This window comes from Homo sapiens, chromosome 19 (genome assembly GCF_000001405.40).
Source record: "Homo sapiens chromosome 19, GRCh38.p14 Primary Assembly".
NCBI lineage: Eukaryota > Metazoa > Chordata > Mammalia > Primates > Hominidae > Homo > Homo sapiens.
In genome coordinates this window covers 38,899,663-38,914,632 of record NC_000019.10, presented here as the reverse complement: position 1 = coordinate 38,914,632, position 14,970 = coordinate 38,899,663, and the positions used below count along the sequence as shown (strand labels likewise).

The 14,970-nt window shown below is 53.5% G+C and overlaps 2 protein-coding genes across 11 annotated transcripts, besides 2 other annotated features; one reads left to right on the top strand and one right to left on the bottom strand.

Annotated features, from left to right (window-relative positions):
* Nucleotides 1,596-2,220: an enhancer, noted in NCBI's record as "H3K4me1 hESC enhancer chr19:39403053-39403677 (GRCh37/hg19 assembly coordinates)". NCBI's record gives its function as "activates a minimal SCP1, AML or CMV promoter by ChIP-STARR-seq in naive H9 embryonic stem cells {active_cell/tissue: H9 hESC(naive)}" and the evidence as "EXISTENCE:reporter gene assay evidence [ECO:0000049][PMID:30033119]".
* Nucleotides 2,221-2,847: an enhancer, noted in NCBI's record as "H3K4me1 hESC enhancer chr19:39402426-39403052 (GRCh37/hg19 assembly coordinates)". NCBI's record gives its function as "activates a minimal SCP1, AML or CMV promoter by ChIP-STARR-seq in naive H9 embryonic stem cells {active_cell/tissue: H9 hESC(naive)}" and the evidence as "EXISTENCE:reporter gene assay evidence [ECO:0000049][PMID:30033119]".
* CCER2 (coiled-coil glutamate rich protein 2) lies at nt 2,447-5,653 on the top strand. Of its 3 annotated transcripts, XM_011527219.4 has the most exons (6): nt 2,447-2,535; nt 2,781-2,821; nt 2,980-3,067; nt 3,550-4,070; nt 5,308-5,355; nt 5,444-5,653. In XM_011527219.4, the coding sequence occupies exons 1-6, from the start codon at nt 2,475-2,477 to the stop codon at nt 5,450-5,452; spliced, it is 768 nt and encodes a 255-aa protein (XP_011525521.1). In that variant the 5' UTR covers nt 2,447-2,474; the 3' UTR covers nt 5,453-5,653. The 3 variants fall into 3 exon arrangements, with proteins under 3 accessions (XP_011525521.1, NP_001230141.1, XP_011525519.1); NM_001243212.2 differs by having other exon boundaries at nt 5,308-5,653; XM_011527217.3 differs by lacking the exons at nt 5,308-5,355; nt 5,444-5,653 and having other exon boundaries at nt 3,550-4,516.
* NFKBIB (NFKB inhibitor beta) lies at nt 5,744-14,967 on the bottom strand. 8 transcript variants are annotated; one of them, NM_001243116.2, is made up of 6 exons: nt 14,894-14,967; nt 9,513-9,618; nt 9,098-9,431; nt 7,324-7,412; nt 6,974-7,234; nt 5,744-5,902 (listed from the first exon to the last, which is right to left on the bottom strand). In NM_001243116.2, the coding sequence occupies exons 2-6, from the start codon at nt 9,537-9,539 to the stop codon at nt 5,801-5,803; spliced, it is 813 nt and encodes a 270-aa protein (NP_001230045.1). In that variant the 5' UTR covers nt 9,540-9,618; nt 14,894-14,967; the 3' UTR covers nt 5,744-5,800. The 8 variants fall into 8 exon arrangements, 6 of the variants coding, with proteins under 6 accessions (NP_001230045.1, XP_006723290.4, NP_002494.2 ...); XM_006723227.4 differs by having other exon boundaries at nt 9,513-9,562; NM_002503.5 differs by lacking the exon at nt 14,894-14,967 and adding an exon at nt 14,422-14,664.

The following is a 14,970-nucleotide window of genomic DNA, read 5'->3' as shown; positions in this document are numbered from 1 at the left end:
ATCTCTACTAAAAATACAAAAATTAGCTGGGCGTGGTGGCGCACGCTTGTAATCCCAGCTACTCGGGAGGCTGAGGCAGGAGAATCACTTGAACCTGGGAGGCGGAGGTTGTGGTGAGTGGAGATCGCGCCACTGCACTCCAGCATGGGCTACAGTGCGAGACTCCATCTAAAAAAAAAAAGAGCTGGGTGTGGTGGCGGGCACCTGTAATCCCAGCTGCTTGGGAGGCTGAGGCAGAATTCTTGAACCCGGGAGGCAGAGGTTGCAGTGAGCTGGGATCACACTACTACACTCCAGCCTGGGTGACAGAGCGAGACTCTGTCTCAAAAAAGATTTCCAGACTCTGCCTACTGTTCTCTCCTCCCTGACCCCACCTGGGCCCTGCTCCCCGATCCCTCCCCTTTGGTTAACCCTGGAAGCCTCTTCACTGGCTCCCTGTTCTCCATCCTCGCCACACAGCCAGAGGGACCTGTGAGCACCTCAGCTGGGTGTCCCACCCCTGCTCAGAGGTCTCCTGTGGCTTCGTCTCAGAGTAAAAGGGTAAAGTGGTCATCGAGGCCCCTAAGACCCCACCTGAGCTGCTCCACCTTCCTCTTCAGCCCATCTTTCTGTCTTGTTTGGTCCACCCGACCCGCCTTGACATTGAAACTCTCCAAACTCCTTCCTGACTCGTGCACTTACATTGGTGAGTCTCCCTCTCTGGCTGTCTCTCCCCTAGATGGTGTGTGCTGGCCTCCATCTTGTCACTCAGGCCTTAGCTCAAATGTCACCTCTTCCAAGAAGTCTTCCGTGACCACAGTAAAACCCCCCCAGCACTCAGTACCTACATCTGAGATACTTTTTTTTTTTTTTTTTTTTTTTTTTGAGATGGAGTCTCACTGTCCCAGGCTGGAGTGCAGTGGTGTGATCTCGGCTCACTGCAACCTCTGAGAGATTCTTTTGCCTCAGCCTCCCGCATAGCTGGGATTACAGGGAGGTGCCACCATGTCCGGCTAATTTTTTGTATTTTTAGTAGAGGCAGGGTTTCGCCATGTTGACCAGGCTGGTCTTGAACTCCTGACCTCAGGTAATGCACCTGCCTTGGCCTCCCAAAGTGCTGGGATTACAGGCATGAGCCACCACGCCCAGCCTGAGATACTATATTTTTGATGCATTTCTGCCTTCTTTCCTTAATATGTATTGATGTGTGTCAAATACCAGCTCCAGGAGGGCAGAGGTATCCACCCATTGGCTCAGGGCTGTAGCCTCAGGTCTAAAAGAGGACCTGGCATGTAGTAGATGCTCAACAAAAATTACTGCACTGAAGATGCTTGGACGTGTGCCGTTCCCAGTACCAGGCACTTCCCTAAACACTGTACACACAACTATTTAATCCTCACTGTCCAACTGTAGAGTAGGTTGTCACCAACCCTATTTACAGTGAGGAAACAGGTCTTAGAGAAGTTAAGCGGTTATCCTGGGCTGCACAGCTGGCACGTGGTGGAGCTGGGGCTTAGGCCAGAAGCCAACTGCAGCCTCTGAGGAAGCGGGTTTATGAGACCCACTCTCAGCCAAGCATAGTGGCTCACCCACGCCTGTAGTCCCAGCACTTCAGGAGGCCCAAGTGGGCGGATCATTTGAGGTCAGGAGTTTCAGACCAGTCTAGGCAACATAGCAAGAACCCCTCTCTACAAAAAATGAAAAAAATTACTGTGGCATGATAATGCAAGCCTGCAGTCCCAACTGATCTGGAGGCTGAGGCAGGAGGATCCCTTGTGTGAGAGTTTGAGGCACTGCACTCCAGCCTGTAACAAGACCCTGTGAGAAAACAGGCCCAGGAAGGGAAGGAGTTGCCTGGGGACCATCTGTGAGTGGCTGCTTCTGGGTTCCCACCCCGGTCCACCTGCCAGCGTGGAGGGCGAGTGTACCAGACCCTGCTGCTCTGGGAAGAGATCCCCCCAGGCCAGGTGTGGCACCTCAGGCCTGTAATCCCAGCACTTTGGGAGGCCCAGACGAGAGGATCACTTGAGCCCAGGAGTCTGAGACCAACCTGGCCAACAAAGTGAGACCCTGCCTCTACAAAAAATAAACATTATTAGCCAGATATGGTGGTACACGCCTGTGGTCCCAGCTACTCGGGAGGCTGAGGTGGGAGGATCAAGTGTGTTCAGGAGCCTGCAGTGAGCTGTGATGGCGCCACTGCACTCCAGCCTGGGTGACAGAGCCAGACCGTGTCTCAAAAAAACGAAAAAAGGGAGGCCTCCACCATCTGCGCTGAGCTCCTGGCCTGAAGCCTCGAGGGGAGCGCGTGCAGGGCGGAGGCCTCATGAATAATTGAGGGTCTCAGGCAGGCAGCCGCCCCGCAGATGTCGCCCCGCCGCGGGCGGGGAGGGGGCGGGGGTGACATCATTTCCTCCCCTGCAGGGTCCCCGCGTGGGTTATAAGGCGCTGCAACCCTGGCCCGCACAGCGCCTTGGACCCGTTGGACGCCCACCATGCCGCCCCGAGGGCCAGCCTCTGAGCTGCTGCTGCTGCGGCTGCTCCTGCTGGGGGCGGGTGAGTGCGGGACCTGCCGAGTGCGGGACCTGCCAGGGGCCGGGGAGCGGGGACTCCAGTGGGAGGGGGCAGGCAGTGCACCCAGTGGAGAGGCTTCAGGGGCCGAGCCTCCAGCGGGGGACAGTACACCCGCCGGGTGGGATGGGGAGGGGATGTGTGGGGACCGGGACGCCCATGGAGCTGGGGTCGGTACCGGGGACAGCAGCCAGGGCGGCAAAGCCCAGTGCCATCTCCTTTCTCCACAGCCACCGCTGCTCCCTTGGCACCGAGACCCTCCAAGGAGGAGGTGAGGAGTGTGGAGGCCTTGCCCTGCCTCACCTAGCTGGGGCCCTGCCCTCCCTGCACAGCCTGCCCCATGATCCTCATTGCCCTCAAACCAGCTGCTCTCCTCCCCATCTCCCCTGCCCTCAACCTCCCCTCTGACCCGGCACCCCTGCCCCCCAGCTGACCCGCTGTCTGGCAGAGGTGGTCACAGAGGTGCTGACCGTGGGCCAGGTCCAGAGAGGACCCTGCACTGCTCTTCTCCACAAGGGTAAGGAGGCCCCGGGCCCCACTTGCCCTCCACAACCCCATGGGACCCTACCCTACCCCACCCAGGGTCCTGCCCAGGTGCCCACATGCTCTCCCACCCAGGCTACCTGGAGGAAGAGGTCCTCATTCCCAGAGCCCTGTTGCCTGGACCAGCGGGGCACTGCCCAGCATTCACACCTGACAGAGCCTGGCCACCAGCAACACCCTTGTGGTTCCCTGCAGAGGGGCCAGATGGGGCAGGGAACATCCCCTCCCAGGTGGGATGAAATAGGACCCTCCCCCTGTAGTCTGGGCAGCCCCCCTGTGAGACCTTCGGCAGGGCCCAGAACTCCTCAAGGCCTCAGTTTCCCAATTCAAACTCCTGACCTCAGGTGATCGGCCGCCACGGCCTCCCAAAGTGCTGAGATTACAGGCGTGAGCCTCCATACTCGGCCTCAGTTTCCCAATTGGATGCTTAGAGAGTGTCCTTTCCCTTTCTGCCAGAGTTGTGCGGGACAGAGCCCCACGGCTGTGCGTCCACCGAGGAGAAAGGCCTGCTGCTTGGGGATTTCAAGAAGCAGGAGGCTGGGAAGATGAGGTCCAGCCAGGAGGTGAGGGATGAGGAAGAGGAGGAGGTAGCAGAGAGGACCCACAAGTCTGAGGTCCAGGAACAAGCCATCCGCATGCAAGGGCATCGCCAGCTCCACCAGGAGGAGGACGAGGAGGAGGAGAAGGAGGAGAGGAAGAGGGGGCCCATGGAGACCTTTGAGGACCTGTGGCAGCGGCATCTAGAGAATGGAGGGGACCTCCAGAAGCGGGTGGCAGAGAAGGCCAGTGACAAAGAGACGGCCCAGTTCCAGGCAGAGGAGAAGGGGGTGCGGGTGCTGGGCGGGGACCGCAGCCTGTGGCAGGGGGCCGAGAGAGGCGGAGGAGAGAGGCGCGAGGACTTGCCCCACCACCACCACCACCACCACCAGCCAGAGGCTGAGCCCAGGCAGGAGAAGGAGGAGGCTTCGGAGAGGGAGGTGAGTAGGGGGATGAAGGAGGAACACCAACACAGTTTGGAGGCAGGGTTGATGATGGTCAGTGGAGTCACAACTCACAGCCACCGGTGTTGGCCCTGCACCACCAGATCCATCACTAGTGGATCACAGTGGCCAAGACTGACACCACGACTGGCTAACAACTTCCGTGCAAGGCCTTTACCTTATACTTCCACACTACTGTATGGACTACAGCAACCAAGATGGCACCATTGCACAGAAGCAAGCCACCATCACTAGCAAGTTGGCCACTGTGAAAAGTGGCTGCTGTGCCTACTTCACTAGGTGACAGACAGACACCATTGCTGGGTCATGGAAAACAAGATGTCACCATGATTGGTGGCACCAAAAGTGCCGTAACAGGGTGGGCATGGTGGCTCACACCTGTAATCCTAGGGAGGGTTAATCCTTTCAGAGGCCAAGGTGGGAGAATCCCTTGAGGCCAGGAGTTTGAGACCAGCGTGGGCAACATAGTGAAACCGTGACTCTACAAATAATTTAAAAAATTAGCCAGCAATGGTGGCGCACGCCTGTGGTCCCAGCTCTCAGGAGGCTGAGGTGGTGGGATTGCTTGAACCCGGGAGTTTGAGGCTGCATTGAGTCATGATTGTGCCACAGCAGTCCCGCCTGGGCCACAGAGCAAAACCATCTTAAAAAAAAAAAAAAAAAATGGCTGGGCATGGTGGTTCGTGCCTGTAATCCCAGCACTTTGGGAGGCTGAGGCGGGAGGATTACCTGAGGTCAGGAGTTCGAGACCAGCCTGGCCAACATGGTGAAACCCTGTCTCTACTAAAAATACAAAAAATCAGCCAGGCATGGTGTTGCATGCCTGTAATCCCAGCTACTCGGGAGGCTGAAGCAGGAGAATCACTTGAACTCGGGAGGTGGAGGTTACAGTGAGCCGAGATCGTGCCACTGTACCCCAGCCTGGGTGACAGAGCGAGACTCCATCTTAAAAATAAAAATAAAGCGCCATCACGAGGTGCTCATCCCAGGCACCTTTGCCAGTGCCAAGCTACTGCTGTTGGCTGTGGTCGCGTTAGCCAGCACCACTCTTCCGGGGTTATGGCAATCAGCATGGTCACCATCGCGGTCCACGACGATCAGAACGACCGCTGCTGGATGCCACTATGAGAACCGACATGGCCCACAATCACAGTGACCGAGGTGGCCTGCCTTTGAAGGTGGGTGCTGACTACCCCGTTTCTGACCCCACCAGGAAAAGGAGGTGGAGCAGCTGGAGCACTTGAGAGACGAACTGAAGAAGGTGACAGAGACGCTGGGGGAGCAGCTCAGGAGGGAGGGCTGACCCCTACCTCAGTCCCTCCTTCCTCCTGACACACCCTGTGGCTTAGGACTGTTGACCCCGAAGCCTCCACCTCACCTAGCACCCCACGCCACCCCTACCCAAACAGGGGAGGAGGCGGACGTGCCTTGGAACCACACCCAAGGAGGTGAGTCTGAGCTGGGCCGGGGGCTGGGCTCAGCCCTGACACAGGAAGCACCCCCACACCTATGCACTCCCACTCCAACCCTTCTGAGTGAATAAAGCACAAAGAAACGCACCCTGCCTCCGTGAGCAGCACTTGATGTGACAGGGATGGGCCCCAGAAGGACCCGGAGGACTGGGAAGACAAGATCAGTCTGGTCTCTGGTTGTCAGAACTAGGGTTTTGTTTATTAAACTGGAAATTATATTAACAATGAAACAAATCACACGGGGCGGGGGTCGTCAGGAAGAGGTTTTGAGGCTGGGGTGGGAGGCAGCCGGGTTTGGCTGCGGCTGCTGTGAACCACAATGTCGTCGTATTCATCCTGGGGGCAAAGGGGACCAGGCAGAGGGGCTCAGGCGGCTGTCACTTTGCCCACCACCCATGTCCTCATAGAGCACCCTAAGAATTAGGTCTCGCCTCAAAGCCCAAGTTCCCCTGCTCCTGGCTCAACCTCCCAGTTTCCTAGCTCTCAGAACTCCATTTTCTTTTCTTTCTTTTTTTTTTTTTTTTTTTTAAGATGGAGTCTCGCTCTGTTGCCCAGGCTGGAATGCAGTGGCGTGATCTAGGTTCACTGCAACCTCCACCTCCCAGGTTCAAGCAATTCTCCTACCTCAGCCTCCCAAGTAGCTGGGATTATAGGCATGCGCCACCACGCCCAGCTAATTTTTGTATTTTTAGTAGAGACAGGGTCTTGCCATGTTGGCCAGGCTGGTCTCGAACTCCTGACCTCGTGATCTGCCTGCCTCGGCCTCCCAAAGTGCTGGGATTACAGGCGTGAGCCACCGCACCTGGCCAGAACTCCATTTTCAAGGTCATTTCTACAGACCAATTTCTAGCCAGCCGCCACTCCAGAGTTTCGGCAACTGAGCTGGCCCTCCTCCACCCCTTCCCTCTGCCTTTACCCAAATTCCTCCGCACCCATCATCCAGCACCGCGCCTTGCCCAAGGACGGATCTGTATTGCTGGGTTCTCTGACTATATCTCTCCCCACCGCTGGCTCGGGTCCTGCCCCAGCACTGCCGGTGTTCAAATCACTGCCACCCAAGGTTTTCTTTTCGCAGTGTGAGTTCTCCAATTCTTGCTGCCTAAAATCACCCCCAGCGCTACCACCCACCCCCGCTGTGTTCACCAATCACTGCGACCAACGCCTTTTCTCCACCCCTGCCTGAGTTCTACCTTTGCCACTGCCTTAGTTTTTCAGCCACTTCTGCCCAAGCTCTTCCCACCACCCCTGTCCAGGTCTCTCCTGACTAGTGCCCCGTGTCACTGGCGCTGCTGCCTGAGTTCTCTAACAGCAGCCCAAGGTCGGTGCCTAATTATCTTCTTGGGCTTCTTGCCTGCCGGTCTATCCTGACCCCCCAGCTGGGCTGCCCTGTCTCTCCTCCTGACTCACGCCCTCGTCTCCGCTGTCGCTGTCGCTACTGCTGCTGCAGGGGCCGGATTTCTCGTCCTCGCCCTCGGGCTCAGGGGCTCCGTGTGCACGGAGGAGGCGGGCGAGGATGGGGTTGGGCCGGAGCATGGCACTGCCGAGTGGGGTGCGGCCACCGTACATGCGGGCAGCAGGGTTCGCGCCTGCCCTCAGGAGAAGCTCCAGCACATCGGCTGCCTGGGCCTCCACTGCCAAATGAAGGGGGCTCCGGCCGCACGTGGGCTCCTGTGGGGGTGCAACAGAAAGGTCAGAGGGCCCGAAGAGGGGACAAGCCCCCTCCCGCCGACGGCATCTTCCCCGAGGTTGGGGCTCACCGGTTTGTCAAGGTCAGCTCCAGCATCTCGGAGCAGCCGGACCATCTCCACATCTTTGTGGATAACGGCCACGTGGAGTGGGGTGTGGCCTGGGGACAGAGTGATTGGCGTCAGATGATGAGGTGAGGGCCCCCCCCACCCCACCGTGCTTTGATCCTGGGGGAGGGTCATGTGGCGTGAGGGTGATTAGGTTTGGGGGCTGGTTCCTGAATTCTTGGGTATGGCAAAGAGGTACCTGGGTACCAAATGCCTATCTCAGATGGCCTGAGCTTGCTGGCAAGTGCTAGTGCCTGAGTTGTTTGAAGCCTGGGGCCCGCGGGTAAACAGCCTGGGGTCTGTGGACAGGGAGCCTGGATTTTGGGGCCAGGAGGAGACCCAAGTCTCTGCTCTTATCACTCAAAGGACCTGAGCTGGCACGCTATTTCACACCTGTAATCCCAGCACTTTGGGAGGCCAAAGCAAGAGGATCACTTGAGCTCAGGAGTTCAAGAAGCTGCCTGGGCAACATGGCAAGACGTCTCTACTAAAAATAAAAAATAAAGGCCAGGCACAGTGGCTCACGCCTGTAATCCCAGCACTTTGGGAGGCTGAGGCGGGTGGATCACGAGGTCAGGAGATCGAGACCATCCTGGCTAACATGGTGAAACCCCATCTCTACTAAAAATACAAAAAATTAGCTGGGCATGGTGGCGGGCGCCTGTAGTCCCAGCTACTCGGGAGGCTGAGGCAGGAGAATGGTGTGAACCCAGGAGGCGGAGCTTGCAGTGAGCTGAGATGGCGCCACTGCACTCCAGCCTGGGCAACAGAGTGAGACTCCATGTCAAAAAAAAAAAAAAAAAAAAACCTTAAATTAAGGTTCCTGCCCAGGCACGGTGGCTCACACCTGTAATCCCAGCACTTTGGGAGGCCATGGCGGGCAGATCACCTAAGGCCAGGCCAGGAGTTCAAGACCAGCCTGGTCAACATGGTAAAACCCCGTCTCTACTAAAAATACAAAAATAAGCTGGGCATGGTAGCATGTGCCTGTAATCCCTGTAATCCCAGCTACTCGGGAGGCTGAGGCAGGAGAATCACCTGAACCTGGGAGGTGGAGGTTGCAGTGAGCCAAGATCACGCCACTGAACTCCAACCTGGCAACAGAGTGAGACTGTCTCAAAAAAAAAAAAAAAAAAAAAAAAGGTACCAAGTAGCTGAAAAGCCTGTGACCTGGGGGCGAGAGGCAGGCCCTGAACACTGGGTCCTGAATGACGTCAGTCCATCTGAGGAGGGGTCTGGTCTCAGGTGGCTGGGCTTATAGGCAGGGGAGCAGAAACTTGGATGTCAGGGCTGTGGGCAGATGAGCCCTTCTTCCCATGAGGCTGAGGAGGGCTGTCTCTGAACCCTGCTGCCCATTGCTGGGAGCCTGGGGTGCCAGAGTTTCACAGAGGGCCTGAGCTCTGCATTCCCCGGTCCTGGGTAGGGTAGGGGTCTGCAATACACTCTGCAGGTGGGGAGCCCGGGGGCCCGACAACTGGATCCTGGCAGCTCTGGGTCTGTGGGTGACAGGTCTGCATCCCAAGTGACCTGGGGCCTCCAGGTGGGGGTCCTGGGTCCTACATATCCAATTCTCAATCATCTGGGCCCTGAGTGGAGGTCCCTGGTCCCGATGTGTGGGCTCCTGAAGCCTAGGCATGATTTCCCAAGGAGCTCAGTCTCAAATCAGGGAAGCTGAGCCCAGGGCCAGGTGCTCTCGCCTAGCCCAGGAGCTGAGTCCTTCCCTGGTGACGACCCTCACCCTCGTAGTTTTCAGCCTCCAGCTGCAGCTTCCAGTCCTCCTCACTCTCCTCTTCTTCCTTCTCCAAGTCGGAATCGGGGTACAAGGCGACAGGGGTATGGTTGGTGTCGGGAGTACGGTCAGGGCCCTGAGCGAGGTAGGTGTCGGGGGCTTCCCTGGGGCGCCGGGGGCGGGGCTGAAGCAGGGCACGGGCACAGGCGTGTGCCCCCACACGGCAGGCCAGGTGCAGCGCCGTGTGGCCCCTACGCTCCGCCACACACAGCCCGGCGCCTGCTGCGTACAGCTTCTCCACCGTGGATGTCTCCCCCAGGATGGCTGCCAGGTGCAGGGCTGTCTGCAGAAGCAGAGGACAGGCGGTAGGGAGTCACACTGGGAACCCTGGACCCCAAGCCCTACACCATCCCTCGTGGCTCACCTGGCCTAGGTCATTCTGCAGGTCCATGTACTCAGTGCCGGCCGAGAAGCCTAGAAGAAAATCCAGGAAGGGTTCATGCTGATGAATCACAGCCAAGTGCAGTGCCCTGGGGACAAAGACCGGGGTGAGAGGGCAAAGTTCAAGTCCTCTTGCATTCCTTCATTGAACAAACATGGGGCGCCTACTGTATGCTAGGCCTTGTGACCACAGTTCTGGAACCCCCTGTCAGCTATCTGGGAGGTCAGAGGTCAGAGTTTCATCAGCAAATTCGTGGAATCAATGTTTATTCAGTGGGATTTCCACTTCTGCCCAAAATGAAGTAACATGGACCAGAATTCACTCCCACGTGAAACAAACAAACAAACAAACAAGAGTCAGACGAAATACGGTATATGAAGCAACAGTGTTGAAGACACTGGACATCGTGCAATGAATCACAGTGACCCCTGAAAGACAGGAAACACGAGGTGGGCCCCACACTTGACTGCCACAGCTTATTGTCTTGAGAGAGTTTCAAAGCCACGGTGCAGAGAGGGGAATCCAAGCAGAGCGCATCAGGTTGTCTGAGGTCAGGAGATGGATATGGAGGAAGAGTCTGTGGAGGCCAGCGTGGCTAGAGTCACAGGACAGAGTACAAAACAGAGTTGCCAAAGGAGAGATTGCTGGGGAACTGCAGGAGGTTCTCTTGTGTATTCCGGAGAATACGGATCAGCCATGCCTGTGAGTCTGTGGGGATGGGAAAACCATCCAAAAGGATTTCAGAAAAGTGCTCGTTACTCACACAGGGCCAGGAATAGTGAGTGTTCCCACCAGCCAGGCTGGAAAAACATCATCACAGGCTATCGGGTGGGATACTCAGGAAGGTCTTGCCTCAATAGTGGGGAATAATTAACTGTAGATGGGGCACTGCTCAACACCCACCTAACAAATCATAAAAGCAAAACTGGAAAGACTCAAACTACTTCCGAGTAATTTAACTCCATCCCAGAATAATATTCAAGAATATTTATTTATTTATTTATTTATTTATTTATTTTAATTTTTATTTTTTGAGAGAGAGTCTTGCCCTGTCGCCCAGGCTGGAGCGCAGTGACACGATCGTGGCTCACTGCAACCTCCACCTCCTGGGTTCAAGCGATTCTTCTGCCTCAGCCTCCCGAGTAGCCGGAACCACAGGTGCGTGCCACCACACCTGGCTAATTTTTGCAGTTTTTAGTACAGACAGGGTTTCACCATGTTGGCCAGGCTGATCTTGAACTCCTGACCTCGTGATCCACCCGCCTTGGCCTCCCAAAGTGCTGGGATTACAGGTGTGAGCCACGGCGCCCGGCCTCAAGAATATTTATAGGAATACAGAATTCTCCAGACTAACAAGGCAAAATTCACAATGTCTGGCACCTAACCAAAGATTATCAGGCATGTAAAGAAGCAGGAAAACATGATCCATAATAGGAACCATCAGTGAATTGAAACTGACCCAGAAATGACAGAGATGTTAGAATTTGCAAACAAGAATATTAAAACAGTTCATTATGCTGGGCACGGTGGCCCACACCTGTAATCCTGGCACTTTGGGAGGCCAAGGCGGGCAGATCACTTGAGGTCAGGAGTTTGAGACCAACCTGGCCAACACGATGAGACCCTGTCTCTACAAAAAATACAAAAAAAATTTAGCCAGGCATGGTGGCATGCGCCTGTAATCCCACCTACACAGGAGGCTGAGGCAGGACAATCATTTGAACCTGAGAAATGGAGGTTGCAGTGAGCTGAGATCGTGCCACTGCACTCCAGCCTGGGCAACAGAGTGAGACTCCGTCTCAAATAATAATAATAAAATAAAATAAATTTCTTTTACTCTATGTGAAATGGCATAATATCACTTTAAGGTAGCCCATGATAACCTAAAGTTGTAAACTATCAACCCTACAGCAGGAGTCAGCAAACTTTTTCTGTAAGGAGCCAGATAACTATTTTAGTCTTTGTAGGTCATATGGTTTCTCTTTTTGGTTTTGTTTTTCTTTTTCTTTTTTTGTTTGTTTGTTTTGTTTTTTTGAGATGGAGTCTCGTTCTGCTGCCCAGGCTGGAGTGCAGTGGCGTGATCTCAGCTCACTGCAACCTCCGCCTCCCGGGTTCAAGCGATTCTCCTGCCTCTCAAGTAGCTGGGATTACAGGCGCTCGCCACCACTGCCAGCTAACTTTTTGTATTTTTAGTAGAGACAAGGTTTCACCATGTTAGCCAGGATGGTCTCGATCTCCTGACCTTGTGATCTGTCCGCCTTGGCTCCCAAAGTGCTGGGATTACAGGCATGAGCCACTGAGCCCAGCAGCCATACAGTTTCTTTTGACTACTCGACTCTGCTGTGTCAGTGCAAAAGCAGCCACTGACAATATGTAAATGAGTGAGCTTGCTTGCGTTCCAAAAGAACTTTATTTATGGAGCTTGAAATATGAATTTCATACACTTTCACTTGCCATATAATATTATTATTCTTTTGATTTTTAGAAACTGTTTAAAAATGTAAAGACCATTCTTAGCTCACAACCATACAAAAGCCATATAATATTATTATTCTTTTGATTTTTAGAAACTGTTTAAAAATGTAAAGACCATTCTTAGCTCACAACCATACAAAAGCAGATGGCTGGCTAGATTTTGCCTGGAGGCCATAGTTTGCCAACCCCCACCTTAAAGCAACCACTAACATAACAAAAAGAGGAATATCTAATAAGCAAACAAAAGAAATAAAATGAGGCCGGGCGCGGTGGCTCACGCCTGTAATCCCAGCACTTTGGGAAGCCGAGGCGGGCGGATCACAAGGTCAGGAGATCAAGACCACGGTGAAACCCCGTCTCTACTAAAAATACAAAAAAAATTAGCCAGGCGAAGTGGCAGGTGCCTGTAGTCCCAGCTACTCGGGAGGCTGAGGCAGGAGAATGGCATGAACCTGGGAGGCGGAGCTTGCAGTGAGCCGAGATTGCACCACTGCACTCCAGCCTGGGTGACAGAGCGAGACTCCATCTCAAAAAAAAAAAAAGAAATAAAATGAAAAACACTATACAGAAGGAGCAGGATTGAAAAAAAAGTAACAAAAACTATACCCAATAAAAGGCAAAAAGGAGGGAGGAAAAAGAAAACATAGGTAAGTAGAATATATATAATAGACATGGGATAAATTTACACAATCATATCAATATCAAATTAAATGTAAATGGTCTAAACACTAATTAAAAGGCAGAGACTGTCTGGGCACAGTGGTTCATCCCTGTAACCCAGCACTTTGGGAGGCCAAGGTGGGAAGAATGCTTGAGCTCAAGAGTTTGAGACCACAGCTGCACACAGTGGCTCACACCTGTAATCCCAGCACTCTGAGAGGCCACAGCGGGTGGATCACCTGAGGTCAGGAGTTTGAGACCAGCCTGGCCAACATGGTGAAACTGCTGTTGCTACTAAAAATACAAAAATTAGCCAGGTGTGGGGGCACGTGCCTGTAATCCCAAATTTGGGAGGCTGAGGCAGTAGAACTGCTTAAACCCAGGAGTCAGAGGTTTCAGCGAGCAGAGATAGTGCCACTATACTCCAGCCTGGGTGACAGAACAAGACTCTGTCTCAAAAAAAAAAAAAGAGTTTGAGAACATAGGGGGACAAAAAAATTTAAAAATTTGCCAGGCATGGTGGCATGTGCCTGTGGTCCCAGCTACTCAGGAGGCTGAGGTGCAAGGATCACTTGAGCCAGGAGGTTGTGGCTATAGTAAGCCATGATCATGCCACTGCACTCCAGCCTGGGCGACAGAGTGAGACTTCGTTTCAAAAAAAAAAGTCAGAACAGAGACCAATTGAATAGAAAGTAAAAAAAAATTAATGAAACCAAAATTAATTAATGAAATTTAATGAAAATTAACGAGACTATAAAGCTGGTTGAGATCAATATTCAGTGCCTCCTGGATCAGGCCCTGCTTGCATCACTGGGCATACAGCAGTAAACACAACAGACAAAAAACCCAGTACAATCCCTCATCTGGGCCTTTGCAACTGCAGTTCCTTCTCCTTGAAATGCTCTTATCTTGTTTATCTATTGCCTCATTTTCCTGCTTTATTTTTCTCCAAAGTACTTAACTACCTCTGACTTTATTTCCTTTTCTTACTTTCTATGTTTCTTTCTTTCTGCGTGTCTTTCTTTGTTTCTTCCTGTCTTTCCATTTCTTTCCTTCCTTGTGGTCTTATCAATCTGTTTATTTAGCTCCACTAAAATGTATGCTCCACAAGGGCTTAAGTTTTTGTTTGTTTTCTTCACTGCCTTTATCACTAGCACCTAAACGGAGCCTGGAACGTGGTAATGTGTAAAGAATATTTGTTTAACAGATGAATCCTTGGTCTCATGGAGCTAACATTCTTTTTTTTAATTTTCCTATTTTTTTACTTTAATTAGGAATTCAACATAGAAGAGCTTACATTCTCTCTCTTTGAATTTAAGATTTGAAGAACACTGCTCAGAAGACAGGATCTTAGAGTCAGGGACCAAGTATTAATTTCGGAAATCAAACTCTAGGGCTCAAATCGGGAACTAAGAATCAAAGATCATATTTGGAGGTTAGAAGTCAGGAGAAGCCACAGTTCTAACAGAAGTCTCAGGACTGGAGTCAGGTTTGGGTATCAGTGGATACAATGTGGATTCCAGGAGCTGAGAATCATAGTTCAAGAAAAGAAGGTAAGAAATGATTGGGTTAGGATCATAGCTAGATAGAAGATTGGTTTTGTTAAAAGTTAGGACTCGGGGGTTAGAGGTCAGGAAGTTCAGCATCGGAAGTCAGATTTAGGAGTATGAGGTTAGGAAGCCTCAGGGATCAGAGATTAATGAGGAATGTGACGCCGGGTCCTAGGGCTCCGTTTGGCAGCCTAAGGTTCACTCACGTGTCCCCATCCTCAGTGACGTAGCCGAAGACGAGGGGAGCCCACGACAGCCCCGGGCCCAACTCCGCGCCCAACCCAGGTCCTCCGGGGGCCGCTGCGTCCGGACCCAGGGAGCCCAGGCCGCTGTCGCACCATTCATCTGCGTCGGCAGCTTTTCCCAAGCACGCGACCCCAGCCATGGCCCCCGCCGCCTCAGGGGCCCCCCGCAGTCGCCCGCCTGTAGCTGGGCTTTGCCGGGAGTTCTGGAGCTTCCGCCCTGCGGGAAATTCCCCACCACGCCCCCTGATTCACCCAATGATAATATGCTGAATCGCTCACACCCCGCCCTCGTACTGCATCCTGACCAATCAGAGTATTCGGGAGGACTACAACTCTCTAGCCGTTCCCACATTTTCCGGGCGCCCTTTACCAACATGGCTGCTGACGCCACGCCTTCTGGGACTCGTAGTCCGGTCCTCGCGCGCTTTCTTACCTAACTGGGGCGCTCTGGGTGTTGTACGAAAGCGCGTCTGCGGCCGCAATGTCTGCTGAGAGTTGTAGTTCTGTGCC